General features: G+C 36.7%; 1 protein-coding gene and 1 long non-coding RNA gene across 2 annotated transcripts, besides 2 other annotated features; one reads left to right on the forward strand and one right to left on the reverse strand.

The window, feature by feature from the left end:
- Window positions 2,894-3,188: a silencer, noted in NCBI's record as "tiled region #15579; HepG2 Repressive non-DNase unmatched - State 24:Quies". NCBI's record gives its function as "represses a minimal TATA promoter and a strong SV40 promoter by Sharpr-MPRA in HepG2 cells {active_cell/tissue: HepG2}" and the evidence as "EXISTENCE:reporter gene assay evidence [ECO:0000049][PMID:27701403]".
- PTGS2 (prostaglandin-endoperoxide synthase 2) lies at window positions 4,208-12,840 on the reverse strand. Its single transcript, NM_000963.4, has 10 exons — window positions 12,656-12,840; window positions 11,739-11,855; window positions 11,475-11,618; window positions 10,678-10,821; window positions 10,066-10,247; window positions 9,250-9,333; window positions 8,884-9,130; window positions 8,315-8,601; window positions 7,666-7,813; window positions 4,208-7,179 (listed from the first exon to the last, which is right to left on the reverse strand). The coding sequence occupies exons 1-10, from the start codon at window positions 12,705-12,707 to the stop codon at window positions 6,770-6,772; spliced, it is 1,815 nt and encodes a 604-aa protein (NP_000954.1). The 5' UTR covers window positions 12,708-12,840; the 3' UTR covers window positions 4,208-6,769.
- Window positions 9,991-11,190: an enhancer, noted in NCBI's record as "MED14-independent group 3 enhancer chr1:186646706-186647905 (GRCh37/hg19 assembly coordinates)". NCBI's record gives its function as "activates an origin of replication core promoter dependent on BRD2, BRD4, P300/CBP and CDK7 cofactors, and independent of MED14, by STARR-seq in HCT116 cells {active_cell/tissue: HCT116}" and the evidence as "EXISTENCE:reporter gene assay evidence [ECO:0000049][PMID:35650434]".
- Window positions 13,071-13,863, forward strand: PACERR (PTGS2 antisense NFKB1 complex-mediated expression regulator RNA). The gene has a single exon (NR_125801.1). It is a non-coding gene; the product is annotated as a PTGS2 antisense NFKB1 complex-mediated expression regulator RNA (long non-coding RNA).

The raw sequence follows: 14,087 nt of genomic DNA on the forward strand, positions 1-14,087 counted from the left end.
TTTTTGAATGCCTTTTAAATGTCAGGCACTGTTCTGGAACCTGTGAATAATGCAGGCAAGGTCCTTGCTTTCACAGACACAAAATTCCAGAAAGGGGACATAGATAGTAAACACACAAATAAGACAATATTAGATAAAATAAATGGTATAAAGAAAATCAAACAGCCTTAGTAGTTGCTTTAGTTTGGTGGTTGGAGAAGCCCTTTCTAAAAAGGGGAAATTTGAGCTGAGATCTAAATGTTGAGAAGGATGTGAAAATCTGCATAAGAAATATTCAAAATAGGGCAACACCTGAGAATCACAGCTACTGAGGAAATCACAAGAAAGCCACTGTGTCTGGAGCATAATGAATAAGAGTGTGGAATTTTAGTAGATAAGCTCAGATAGATGGGCAGGGAATAGACCATTGAGATCCTCATAGGGTAGGATAAGAAGATTATATTTTTCCATTGTGTAGTAGGAAGCTACTGGAAGATTTTAAACATGGGAAAGGCATGATATGATTTATGTTAAAACATAATTACTGCCTATATAAGGTGTAAGGAAGGGGTCCAGTTTCAGTTTTCTGCATATGGTTAGCCAGTTTTCCCAACACCATTTATTAAATAGGGAATCCTTTCCCCATTGCTTGTTTTTGTCAGGACTGTCAAAGATCAGATGGTTGTAGATGTGTGGTATTATTTCTGAGGCCTCTGTTCTGTTTCATTGGTCTATATATCTGTTTTGGTACCAGTACCATGCTGTTTTGGTTACTGTACATGATGCCTCCAGCTTTGTTCTTTTTGCTTAGGATTGTCTTGGCTATACGGGCTCTTTTTTTTTGGTTCCATATGAAATTTAAAGTAGTTTTTTCCAATTCTGTGAAGAAAGTCAATGGTAGCTTAATGGAAAGTCAATGGATAGCATTGAATCTATACATTACTTGGGGCAGTATGGCCATTTTCAAGATACTGATCCTTCCTACCCATGAGCATGGAATATTCTTCCATTTGTTTGTGTCCTCTTTTATTTTGTTGAGCAGTGATTTGTAGTTCTTCTTGAAAAGGTCCTTCACATCCCTTGTAAGTTGGATTCCTAGGTATTTTATTATCTTTGTAACAATTGTGAATGGGAGTTCACTCATGATTTGGCTCTCTGTTTGTCTATTATTGGTGTATAGGAATGATTGTGACTTCTGCACATTGATTTTGTATCCTGAGAATTTGCTGAAGTTGCTTATCAGCTTAAGGAGATTTTGGGCTCAGATGATGGGGTTTTCTAAATATACAATCATGTCATCTGCAAAGAGAGACAATTTGACTTCCTCTCTTCCTATTTGAATAAGTTTTATTTCTTTCTCTTTCCTGATTGCCCTGGCCACAACTTCCAATACTATGTTGAATAGGAGTGGTGAAAGAGGGCATCCTTGTCTTGTGCCAGTTTTCAAAGGGAATGCTTCCAGCTTTTGCCCATTAGGTATGATATTGGCTGTGTGTTTGTCATAAATAGCTCTTATTATTTTGAGATATGTTCCATCAATACCTAGTTTATTGAGAGTTTTTAGCATGAGGGGGTGTTTACTGAAGGTCTTTTCTGCATTGAAGAATTAAAGACTTAAATGTAAGACCTAAAACCATAAAAACCCTAGAAGAAAACCTAGGCAATACCATTCAGGACATAGACATTGGGCAAGGACTTCAAGACTAAAACACCAAAAATAATGGCAACAAAAGCCAAAATTGACTAATGGGATCTAATTAAACTAAAGAGCTTCTGCACAGTAAAAGAAACTACCATCACAGTGAACAGGCAACCTACAGAATGGGAGAAAATTTTTGCAATCTATGCATCTGACAAAGGGCTAATATCCAGAATCTACAAAGAACTTAAATGAATTTACAAGAAAAAACAAACAACCCCATCAAAAAGTGGGCAAAGGATATGAACAGACACTTCTCAAAAGAAGACATTTATGCAGCCAACAAACATGAAAAAAAGCTCATCACCGGTCATTAGAGAAATGCACATCAAAACCACAATGAGATACCATCTCATGCCAGTTAGAATGGCAATCATTAAAAAGTCAGAAAACAACTGATGCTGGAAAGCATGTGGAGAAATAAGAACGCTTTTACACTGTTGGTAGGATTGTAAATTAGTTCAACCATTGTGGAAAACAGTGTGGAGATTCCTCAAAGATCTAGAACCAGAAATACCATTTGACCCAGCAATCTCATTACTGGGTATATACCCAAATGATTATACATCATTCTACTATAAAGACACATGCACATGTATATTCATTGTGGCACTGTTCACAATAGCAAAGACTTGGAACCAACCCAAATGCCCATCAATGACAGACTGAATAAAGAAAATGTGGAACATATATGCCATGGAATACTATGCAGCCATTAAAAAGGATGAATTCATGTCCTTTCCAGGGAAATGGTTGAAGCTGGAAACCATCATTTTCAGCAAACTAACACAGGAACAGAAAACCAAACGCTGCATATTCTCACTCATAAGTGGGAGTTGAACAATGAGACCACACGGACACAGGGAGGGGAACATCATACACTGGGGCTTGTCGAAGGGTGGGGGGCTAGGGGAGGGATAGCATTAAGAGAAATACCTAACGTAGATGACAAGTTGATGGGTGCAGCAAACCACCATGGCGCATGTATACCTATGTAACAAACCTGCACGTTCTGCACATGTGTCCCAGAACTTAAAGTATAAAGTGTGTGTGTATATATATATATAAAATTACTGCCACTGCCATAAGGAGAATGGTTTGGGCTGAGGAAAGAATAGACAAGAGAACACCAATTAATAGACTATTACACTGCTAGGTTGTGAAGTTGGAAAAAAGGTGACAGATTTAAGATTTATTTGTGGGTTGTAGTCAACAGGATTGCTGTTGGATTGGCTATGCAAGTGAAGGAAAGAGTATGGTGGTGTCTTTAACGTTGGACAATTATTATTTGGGATATATGGTTCTGGGAGGGAAGAATGTAAAAGAAGCAATTAAATTGATGACTTTGAGTGGAGAGGTTGTCAATTGACAATTTGGAGATGTTGTCAATTGACAATTAGACGTTGGTCCTGGAGTGCTTATTTCTGAGTGCTTATTATTTCAAATAATGAGCTTAAATGTGATTAATCTGGAGGAATGCAGACAGAGCAGATATCAAGACACTTCAACTTATACATACAGTAGAAGAGAAAGAGCTTAAAAAAAAGAGAGAGAGAAAAGACTGAGCAATAGTGCTCTGAGAAAGGTAGAGAAAGACCAGGAGAGTATCAAACCATGAAGCCAAGGTTGGGGCAGGGGTTCTTTCAGTAAAGAGATTATAGCTATTTGTGTTGAATGCTACTGAGAAGCCAAATAAAAAACAGATTAGGAGAATGGCTGGATTTAATCAACTTGTGTCAATTCAGCACAGTAGAGGGAGAATATACAGAGCAGAGGGGAATGATTAGAATGATGGACAATAGAATCTGAGCTAGATGCATATGGAAGTAAATGGAAAGATAAAACAGGTGATAAATAGTGAAGTGATGAGGTTGGTGGATCGGTAGGTTCAGTGAGACTGAGAGTTAGATGTTAGAGTGTAAGCAATAAAATAGGTGAGCTGGAAGATGCTTGGAATCAAGATTTTGAAAGTGGTGCTGTAATTAATCATAATGATATCAAGATATGTATGATTTCAGGAAATATGGTGGAAGAGGCCATCCCTGGAATGGAGAAGGCCAAAGAGGAGAGGCCAGGGAAGATGCTAAATATGTGGTCCATGTAGATATTGAAATTACCAAGATGTCAAGGATAGAGGTACAACAAAAGCCTATGAGCTTTTGCATCAATGATTTGCCCAACTTTGTATAATTTCCTCCTCTTTGAACTTCTTAACTTTGTGCCCCCTTCATAATATATGTCTTATTCTTTGCCTTATTGTGTATTTTTTTCTTCTTCTTCTAGACTAGGCAATGAAAATAAGCTTGTTTGCCATCTTCTGTAAAGATACACAAACTAGACATTTTCCAACACAGTGTCGCAGTGAATAAGGATTATGAGATTTAAATAGTGACTCTAGGAAGCCTCTATATAATTGAGGGCAAAACCATTTCATGAAGGGCCAGTCCTAGTTTTGAATAGGTAGGAGAATGCAAGATAATGGTTTAAGAGTAATGCTTCAGAGAAATCTTATGTCATATGACAAAGATGTATAGAAACAATCAAAGTTTATCTTCAGAAAAGATCTGTCAATTTTTAAATAGTACAAAAATAAACAGACATTTATTTCCAGACTTATCTTTTACATAAGTTAAATACACATTTGTCTGAGGCACTGAAACATTCGCATACACAACCCAAATTCCCAGGTTTTGTCAGCAGATCAATGTTAATAACAAATCAAGTTTTTTTTTTAAAAAAAACAGTGAACAGTGTTTTATACAAGCATATTGACTATTTCTTTCTTAACCTTAAACATTCTAAACGTAAAATTGTAAAGAAGATTCTCCTGAGTTATCTTTAATGATATTTATTTCATTTTCTCCCTCTTCCCAAAAGAAAATTTTTTTCAATTATTTATATAAATACTATTATCTGTAATCAGCGTTTGATTTAAAAATATTAAAACCCACAGTGCTTGACACAGAATATTTTCTCAATAAATTGTGGCTGAACAAATTAACGAAGCATCCACAGATCCCTCAAAACATTTTAAAAGGTCAGTCTTATGGCACATTCAGGCTAATGAGACAATATTCTTTGTGGGCTAGCACATAGGCCTATCCTAAGGACAAACATTCAACCTTAAATATCTCAATATGCCAATCAGATTTCTAAAAATTTATTCACAAATCTTAATACAATCATTTCTTTGGATTGTTTACATAATATTCAGAGAGGTAACCCCAAAGAAAATATACTGATTGTGACATAACAAAAAAAAATCAATGATTGTAGGCTTAAACACAGTTTATAACCATAGTGTCCTAATAAGACATAAATAATAATCTTCAATAAATTAAGTAATATACAGTACCATTAAATGTCAGTGACAATGAGATGTGGAAAAGAAGTATTATCGTCATTATTATTATTGCTGAGAACTACTTAGATATCATTTGGTTTTGTTTTTAAATAAGAAAGGGCATTAATTAGAATGGGAACGTAACTTTTTCCAGTCACAAACCCCGTACAGTTCTCTCTGAGGCACTAGCCTCTTTGCATCCATCTTGGTTACAGATAGCTAAAATTAGCTATAAATAAAATTCTCTGCTTTTCACTTAAAATAAGTGTATACTATTTTTAAAAGGGCCTTTTTTTTTCTCTTTTAATCTTCTTAAGAGGAGCTAAATAGCAGTCCTGAGCTGAGGTTTACCTGAAAACTTGCAAAAGTTCAGGTAAGAAAATATAGGCAGAGTCCAAAGAAAGTGAACTCTGATCTTAAAACTAGTAAAACAAAATAGGAGAAACGAAGTGATGAGAAGACTGTGTCTCTTAGCAAAATGGCTAAAAGAAGAAAAGAAAAGGAACAGCATGCAGGTAGCCAGGCTTGATTCCAATGCACCTACTGAATTGGCTTCAAGACTGAGATAAAATTAATGTGTGAAATGAATTTAAGCATTTTGAAGAGGTATTTTATGAGGTCATTGCTACTTTTGCAATGTGATATGGACTGCTAAATTAAACTGTACAACAGAAAATCTGAGAAAACATATCATTATTCAAGCACAGCTTGGTACTTCATTAACCTCATAGCAAAATCTGAGTACCAGGCCTGCAGTGCACAAGGATAAAAAAAAGTTTGCTTCAAAAGTTTAAACCTAAATTTGAACAATAATTTGGTTTTCTTCTTTGTTATTGCTTATTTTAAAGGTAGACCCTTTTGCTGATATAGATTTTACATGTTACCAGCCATATAAACAAATTCTGGAATATCTCAACAAAATATTCTTATTTTAAGATAACACTGCAGTGGCTCCACCACCTTAATAAATTTGGCATTTTGATTTAAAAGGAAGTTTTAACAGTCACACTAAAAAGGTTTATACTCTTGGTGAAAAAGGAACATCACTTATAAAATATTTTAACAAGCAATTGTAGTAAAATTTCTACTGATTTTACAGATTTAAATCCAAGACAGCTTCTTTTTGGTATATGTACAAGTTTAATAACTTTAAGAAATCAAACAAGCTTTTACAGGTGATTCTACCCTATGAATTTAGAAATTTCAAATTATTGTTTCATTGCTGATTTTAAAAAGTAGACATGAAATTACTGGTAATGTCTAATTTAAATATTCATTTAATAATGCACTGATACCTGTTTTTGTTTGATGACAGAAAAATAACCAAAAGTACTTTAAAATTTCAAACATTAGTTACTTCTAATGCATCATGGAAGATGCATTGGAAACATCGACAGTGTAAAAACTTTCAGCATTTTGCCATCTTGTGACAGTGTTTAAGTATTCAAACATCTTTACTTTCGTTCTTATAATATAAGTTGAAATTCAAGTAAAAAGACGTCAAAACTCATTTCTCTCTGGTTTATAAAACAGAATAAAAACTGTTTTCCAAACTTAACAGCAACAGCAAAATCTTTAGAGTAGTGACATAAAAGTCTTCACAAGTATGACTCCTTTCTCCGCAACAGGAGTACTGACTTCTGTTACAGAAGATGTTAAGTAACATAAGGAGTTTAATATAAATATTATTAAATAATTAAATTAATAGACATGGTTCATATAAATAAATAAATATGATCATTAGACTTCTACAGTTCAGTCGAACGTTCTTTTAGTAGTACTGTGGGATTGATATCATCTAGTCCGGAGCGGGAAGAACTTGCATTGATGGTGACTGTTTTAATGAGCTCTGGATCTGGAACACTGAATGAAGTAAAGGGACAGCCCTTCACGTTATTGCAGATGAGAGACTGAATTGAGGCAGTGTTGATGATTTGAAAACCCACTTCTCCACCAAAAGTGCTTGGCTTCCAGTAGGCAGGAGAACATATAACATTACCCATAAGTCCTTTCAAGGAGAATGGTGCTCCAACTTCTACCATGGTTTCACCAAAGATGGCATCTGGCCGAGGCTTTTCTACCAGAAGGGCAGGATACAGCTCCACAGCATCGATGTCACCATAGAGTGCTTCCAACTCTGCAGACATTTCCTTTTCTCCTGTGAAGGCGATGAAGACAGAGATACAACCAATGTCAAACTTCACAAAATAAAAAACAGTTTGATTCTTTTGCTCAATTTGCTGCCAACTTCTCTGTTTCCATTTGACCCCTGATTCTTTTAAGAAGTTTAGGGGCCAGGCGCGGTGGCTCACGCCTGTAATCCCAGCACTTCGGGAGGCCGAAGCCGGCGGATCACTAGGTCAGGAGTTTGAGACCAGCCTGGCTAACACGGTGAAACCCCGTCTATACTGAAAATACAAAAAATTATCCATGCGTGCGACGTGAGCCTGTAGTCCCAGCTACTCAGGAAGTTGAGGCAGGAGAATTGCTTGAACCCAGGAGGCGGAGGTTGCAGTGAGCCGAGATGGCGCCACTGCACTCCAGCCTGGGTGACAGAGGGCGGCTCCATCTCGAAAAGAAAACCAAAAACAACAAAAACAAACAAACAAACAAAAAACGAAGAAGTTTAGAAACTGTTTCTTACCTGTAAGTTCTTCAAATGATTCATAGGGCTTCAGCATAAAGCGTTTGCGGTACTCATTAAAAGACTGGTATTTCATCTGCCTGCTCTGGTCAATGGAAGCCTGTGATACTTTCTGTACTGCGGGTGGAACATTCCTACCACCAGCAACCTGTGGAAAGTAAAATTAGTTGTAAAACAAGAATTTTAGGCATATTTACTGTTTGTATTCAGCTTGCCTTAGGTACAAATCAGGTAAAACTGAAACTCCCAGCGGAGACAATTTTTATTTGCTGGAAAGATGCTTACCTACATTTCAACAGGAGCTCTGCTTAAAATTCAATGGGACACCAGCCTAGAACTAATTTGCCTTTTTACATTTCAAAAATAACACTAGTATTCAAGCCTAAAATATTTATTCCTATAAGATTATAGATACTTTTTGAAAATATTTTTAAGGTAGGGGTACAATTTGCTATTTGTCTGACAACTGTAGACTAGACTAAAAGTTTAGACTTTTCAAACAAAGTTAGGCTTCTTATATCAATAAAATAATTTTACTAGCAATATAACTAACTACTCTTTTAGTAAGTTTAAGAAAAATAATTTCCGTGGCAGAAATTCTAAAGTTACTGACTAGTCTTTTGTTTTGGTTTTCAATAATAATGCTTACCCTGCCAGCAATTTGCCTGGTGAATGATTCAACAAACTGGGTAATTCCATGTTCCAGCAATATAGAGTTGTTGTAGATAAACTGTTGATAGTTGTATTTCTGGTCATGAATTTGAAAGGTGTCAGGCAGAAGGGGATGCCAGTGATAGAGGGTGTTAAATTCAGCAGCAATACGATTTTGGTACTGGAATTGTTTGTTGAAAAGTAGTTCTGGGTCAAATTTCAGTTTGAAGTGATAGCCACTCAAGTGTTGCACATAATCTTCAATCACAATCTTAATAGTCTCTCCTATTTGCACAAAATAAATAATAAAAACATTTATTGCATCTGATCACAAGCTTTCAAGCAACTGGAATGCAATTTTTAAAATTTGCTATTCCTTCATTTCTGTTTTCTTCCTTGTCAGTATCAAAAGATAGCTATTTTATCAGTCATGCTTACATATTTAATGTATATAGAATGTGTGAGTTTTCATTTACCACATCTTGTCATTTACTCAAAACATAACAAAGATAGCACACTAATTTTCCCTGGGGAAGAGGGTTTTATATAAATCATTTTCTTGTTTACCTATCAGTATTAGCCTGCTTGTCTGGAACAACTGCTCATCACCCCATTCAGGATGCTCCTGTTTAAGCACATCGCATACTCTGTTGTGTTCCCGCAGCCAGATTGTGGCATACATCATCAGACCAGGCACCAGACCAAAGACCTCCTGCCCCACAGCAAACCGTAGATGCTCAGGGACTTGAGGAGGGTAGATCATCTCTGCCTGAGTATCTTTGACTGTGGGAGGATACATCTCTCCATCAATTATCTAAAAAAATAAATAAATAAATAAACATCAGTTAAAAAGTTAAGGAACACATTTTTAGGGATTTTAAAATATGGGTATAAGCGGTAATAACTAAGTCTTAATAGTCAAAGGAAGCATACCTGATATTTCATTTTTCCATCCTTGAAAAGGCGCAGTTTACGCTGTCTAGCCAGAGTTTCACCGTAAATATGATTTAAGTCCACCTAGAAAATGATGAAAAAATTTTAATTTGTTGCTGTTGAAGTTTTTCTTATATAAAGTGTCTATCATATAATTCATCATTAAATAATTTGATCATTTAGCTTTCTTTAAAATTTTTAAATAAAATATACATTTTTCATAGCCATGAATTGCTAAATTAATTTGTTTATCCACCAAAGCTACAAACTGATATGTCTTTGTGTTTAACGGAATTAATATACTATATTGAGCTTATATCATATATATTATATACTTCACTATGATGATATGGTAATTATAAAAAAGTATAAAAATGTATTATTTATAAAAAATTCTTACGAATAACTTGAAGCTATGCTATTGAAATCCAAAAAATAATAATGCGGCAAAAACCTCACTTTACAATATTGAAAGCGGCATAATCATGGTACAATGTGTTTTTGAGGACATAACATTTTGCAGTACTAACATTTTAAACTAAAAAATACAAGGGTCAAATTACAAATAACAATACCTGTACATATGTATGTGTGTGAATGTTTATATATGTGTGTGCATGTCTGTGTGTGTGTATAATTTTACTAGACCAGTGAAGTAAATGGAAAATTCCTTTAAGGTTTTTATAGATAAGACTTCTTTTTAAAAAAAGTGGATAAGTTATTTGGATCTATCTATCTGTATATCTCCTTTAATGTTAGCCCTTGACTATGATTTGGTATAATTTTACTAACTCTAAGATATTAACTCTATCTTACCCCATGGCCCAGCCCGTTGGTGAAAGCTGGCCCTCGCTTATGATCTGTCTTGAAAAACTGATGCGTGAAGTGCTGGGCAAAGAATGCAAACATCATGTTTGAGCCCTGGGGATCAGGGATGAACTTTCTTCTTAGAAGCAATTTTTCCACAATCTCATTTGAATCAGGAAGCTGCTTTTTACCTGAAAAATGAGAAAGCTAAGGTAAGAATCCATCTATGTATTCAAGAAAGGAGATGGTGACTGTCAATCTACCAAGAATTCTTCATTTATATGAGAATTACAATTGTGAATAGGATCATAATATAAACAACAGTTCTAAGATATGGTGGAACAACTTCTTACTGAATGATTTTATCTATTTTAATTAGAATTATTTCATTTCTAAAGAAATAATTTGAAAATATTAAGACATTATACCAAGACGCTCATTTGCTTTTACATAATAGTTTATATAGACTCATACTTTAAAAAATACCCATAGATAACCATGCTAAAAGTAAAAACTGCTTTTGTTAATAAATAAATGGTAGTCTAAGGTCAATTTTTTTTTTTGGCAGCAATGCAGCCCGTCTTATAGTTAATACATCTCTAATGGATTCTTCTTACTCACCTTTGACACCCAAGGGAGTCGGGCAATCATCAGGCACAGGAGGAAGGGCTCTAGTATAATAGGAGAGGTTAGAGAAGGCTTCCCAGCTTTTGTAGCCATAGTCAGCATTGTAAGTTGGTGGACTGTCAATCAAATGTGATCTGGCTGAAATTTTCAAAGAAAAAAATGTTTTATTTATTCTCATTTGTTAAGTAAATCAACCATTATTTTTATTGTAAAATGTGGAAAGTGGCACCTGAGGTTGAATGTAACTCCAAAATAAAAAAAATCTATTTTTAAACAACTACACTTTATAGTCTAATGGCCACTTGAAATACATCTTTAATAAAATACATATACTCTGCACATTATAATCTGGCAATATTGATTTTTCAGGTAGCCATCTGCTCACTATCCAAGAGGCCTATGAAAGGAATGGCTGAGTATGGCACCCACTTTAGAATCATGGAAAGTTATTTTCTTGCTGATCCAAATCCAAATTTATTTTAATGGGTGCTACATGTTCAGAACAATTCTGTGGCCCATGGGCATTCAATAAACAGCTGGACCATGCTACCTCCACAAACTGACCAAACAGTAAAGGTTAGAAGAGGTATACAGAGTTGTGAGCAGACTGTATAAACTGGATGGGACTAAATGTCAATATTTTTGGCGATTAAGATGGAAGGCAAACTTAAAAGCTATCTTAAAGTCTTTTTGATAAGCTTGGAAATATGTTTTTAGATTAGGCTTACAGTATTATAAAGCATATTTTTCTTTGAGAAGGCTAAAAACCTTAGAAAGACACTTGTACTTACATGTCAACACATAACTCATAATTGCATTTCGAAGGAAGGGAATGTTATTCACAACGTTCCAAAATCCCTTGAAGTGGGTAAGTATGTAGTGCACTGTGTTTGGAGTGGGTTTCAGAAATAATTTTATTCTTGTCAAAAATTCCGCTGCAAGAAGACGAAGAAAGGGAGGGAGAAATTAATGGGACTCATTATAAGACACAAATCTATACAATGATAACTGTATCCAGCCCCACTCCTAATGAGGCAACCAAAGGACAAACTTACGTGTTGAGCAGTTTTCTCCATAGAATCCTGTCCGGGTACAATCGCACTTATACTGGTCAAATCCCACACTCATACATACACCTCGGTTTTGACATGGGTGGGAACAGCAAGGATTTGCTGCAATTAAAGGACAGCAAATAAATCATTCTCTAGTGTCTTAATCTTAATTTAAACATTTAATTGTTTGACTATGAATCAACTTTACAATAATAAATTCAAGAAATATATAGGTAGTCATGGAAATACAATTTTTTAACCTGCCTTAGAATGGATAAAACGTAGAAATACCAATTTTCTATTCTAAATAAGGATAACAGCATATTCAACTTGGTACATCATGTTACTAAGCTTTTCTTAGTTAACTCTTTAGATGTTAAAATTAGCATTTTTAAGAAGTTCAAATAAGTAGCACTTCACTTTCCAAATTAAAATGGATCTAGTACACTAATCAACATTTAGGGAAAAATTCAAAGTAAAACAGCTTACTTTTAAGACATTTTGCTTATCTTAAAACATAATCCGGGCTTTCCTGGGAGCAGGAAAGAACTGACTAGAATATTTAAAACAACTTCTTCCACTCAATAAAAAGGTTCCAAATATAAACAATTCACATATATTGATCAGATCCTGTCTTATCATAATGACAACCTGCAAATTAGTATCATCTATCCCTATTTAGGAGGTGAGAGTGTCTCAGATCGGTTAAGTAACTGGCTCATAATGATCAGTGCTTGTGGGAAAGCTGGAATATCCACGGAGTTCTTTCGAACTCTAGCGGTCCAAGCTCTTTCCCAAGTCACGTAGCTTCTCTATTCGGAGAGAAGTCGGAGTACTGGGATAGACCCAGGAGGTCAGAGCGGAAACTCTGCCCGGGTGCGTGGAACCGGAGTCCCCGGTGCGCGGCGCCAGGTACTCACCTGTATGGCTGAGCGCCAGGACCGCGCACAGCAGCAGGGCGCGGGCGAGCATCGCAGCGGCGGGCAGGGCGCGGCGCGGGGGTAGGCTTTGCTGTCTGAGGGCGTCTGGCTGTGGAGCTGAAGGAGGCGCTGCTGAGGAGTTCCTGGACGTGCTCCTGACGCTCACTGCAAGTCGTATGACAATTGGTCGCTAACCGAGAGAACCTTCCTTTTTATAAGACTGAAAACCAAGCCCATGTGACGAAATGACTGTTTCTTTCCGCCTTTTCGTACCCCCCACAAATTTTTCCCTCCTCTCCCCTTAAAAAAATTGCGTAAGCCCGGTGGGGGCAGGGTTTTTTACCCACGGAAATGAGAAAATCGGAAACCCAGGAAGCTGCCCCAATTTGGGAGCAGAGGGGGTAGTCCCCACTCTCCTGTCTGATCCCTCCCTCTCCTCCCCGAGTTCCACCGCCCCAGGCGCACAGGTTTCCGCCAGATGTCTTTTCTTCTTCGCAGTCTTTGCCCGAGCGCTTCCGAGAGCCAGTTCTGGACTGATCGCCTTGGATGGGATACCGGGGGAGGGCAGAAGGACACTTGGCTTCCTCTCCAGGAATCTGAGCGGCCCTGAGGTCCGGGGGCGCAGGGAATCCCCTCTCCCGCCGCCGCCGCCGTGTCTGGTCTGTACGTCTTTAGAGGGTCGAGGAAGTCACGTCGGGACAGACTGGGGCGAGTAAGGTTAAGAAAGGCTGACATGTTTTATGTTTTAGTGACGACGCTTAATAGGCTGTATATCTGCTCTATATGCAGCACATACATACATAGCTTTTTAAAAAACTCTTATTTTGTGGAATGAAATAGCTACCTTCAGTGTACATAGCTGTAATTTATCTTTGTAGCTAAGTTGCTTTCAACAGAAGAAATACTGTTCTCCGTACCTTCACCCCCTCCTTGTTTCTTGGAAAGAGAGGCGGGAAAGGTAAATTCTCCTCATAATACTGGTCCTAAGCAGTTACCCTGTAAATAGTTAATGTGAGCTCCACGGGTCACCAATATAAAGTTTCCTGCCTTCTGATGGACAAAGGAAGCGGCGATGGCCAGAATTTGCAGGGACGCTAAATGTCCAAAACGTATGCCTTAAGGCATTTCTCTCCCTGATGCGTGGATTATTTTGGTTACTAGCCCTTCATAGGAGATACTGGTAAAATAAATTCGAGTTTTAAAGTTCACTCTTTTGTCTTTTCTGTCCACTTTTCCAAGATTATGAGTTGTGACCATGGATCAAAGTACAACATAGCATTTACTTTTCAGTTGCCTGGGCTTATTGGGGCTAATTTTCTATTCTCGTTTTGGAACATAGTTGGATGAGGAATTAATTAGATGGAAGGGAGATTTTGACAGTTGGAATTTCATCTTTGCTTTTGTTTAACATCTATCATGGGTAGTGCTCAGG

The sequence above is a fragment of the Homo sapiens genome, chromosome 1 (genome assembly GCF_000001405.40).
Source record: "Homo sapiens chromosome 1, GRCh38.p14 Primary Assembly".
NCBI lineage: Eukaryota > Metazoa > Chordata > Mammalia > Primates > Hominidae > Homo > Homo sapiens.

Coding starts and splice junctions, on each gene's coding strand:
- PTGS2 (NM_000963.4), bottom strand. CDS start 12,707: ATGCTCGCCCGCGCCCTGCTGCTGTGCGCGGTCCTGGCGCTCAGCCAT. Junction 11,619..11,738: donor TGGAGAAAACTGCTCAACAC/GTAAGTTTGTCC, acceptor GTCTTCTTGCAG/CGGAATTTTTGACAAGAATA. Junction 10,822..11,474: donor TATGAGTTATGTGTTGACAT/GTAAGTACAAGT, acceptor TGAAAATTTCAG/CCAGATCACATTTGATTGAC.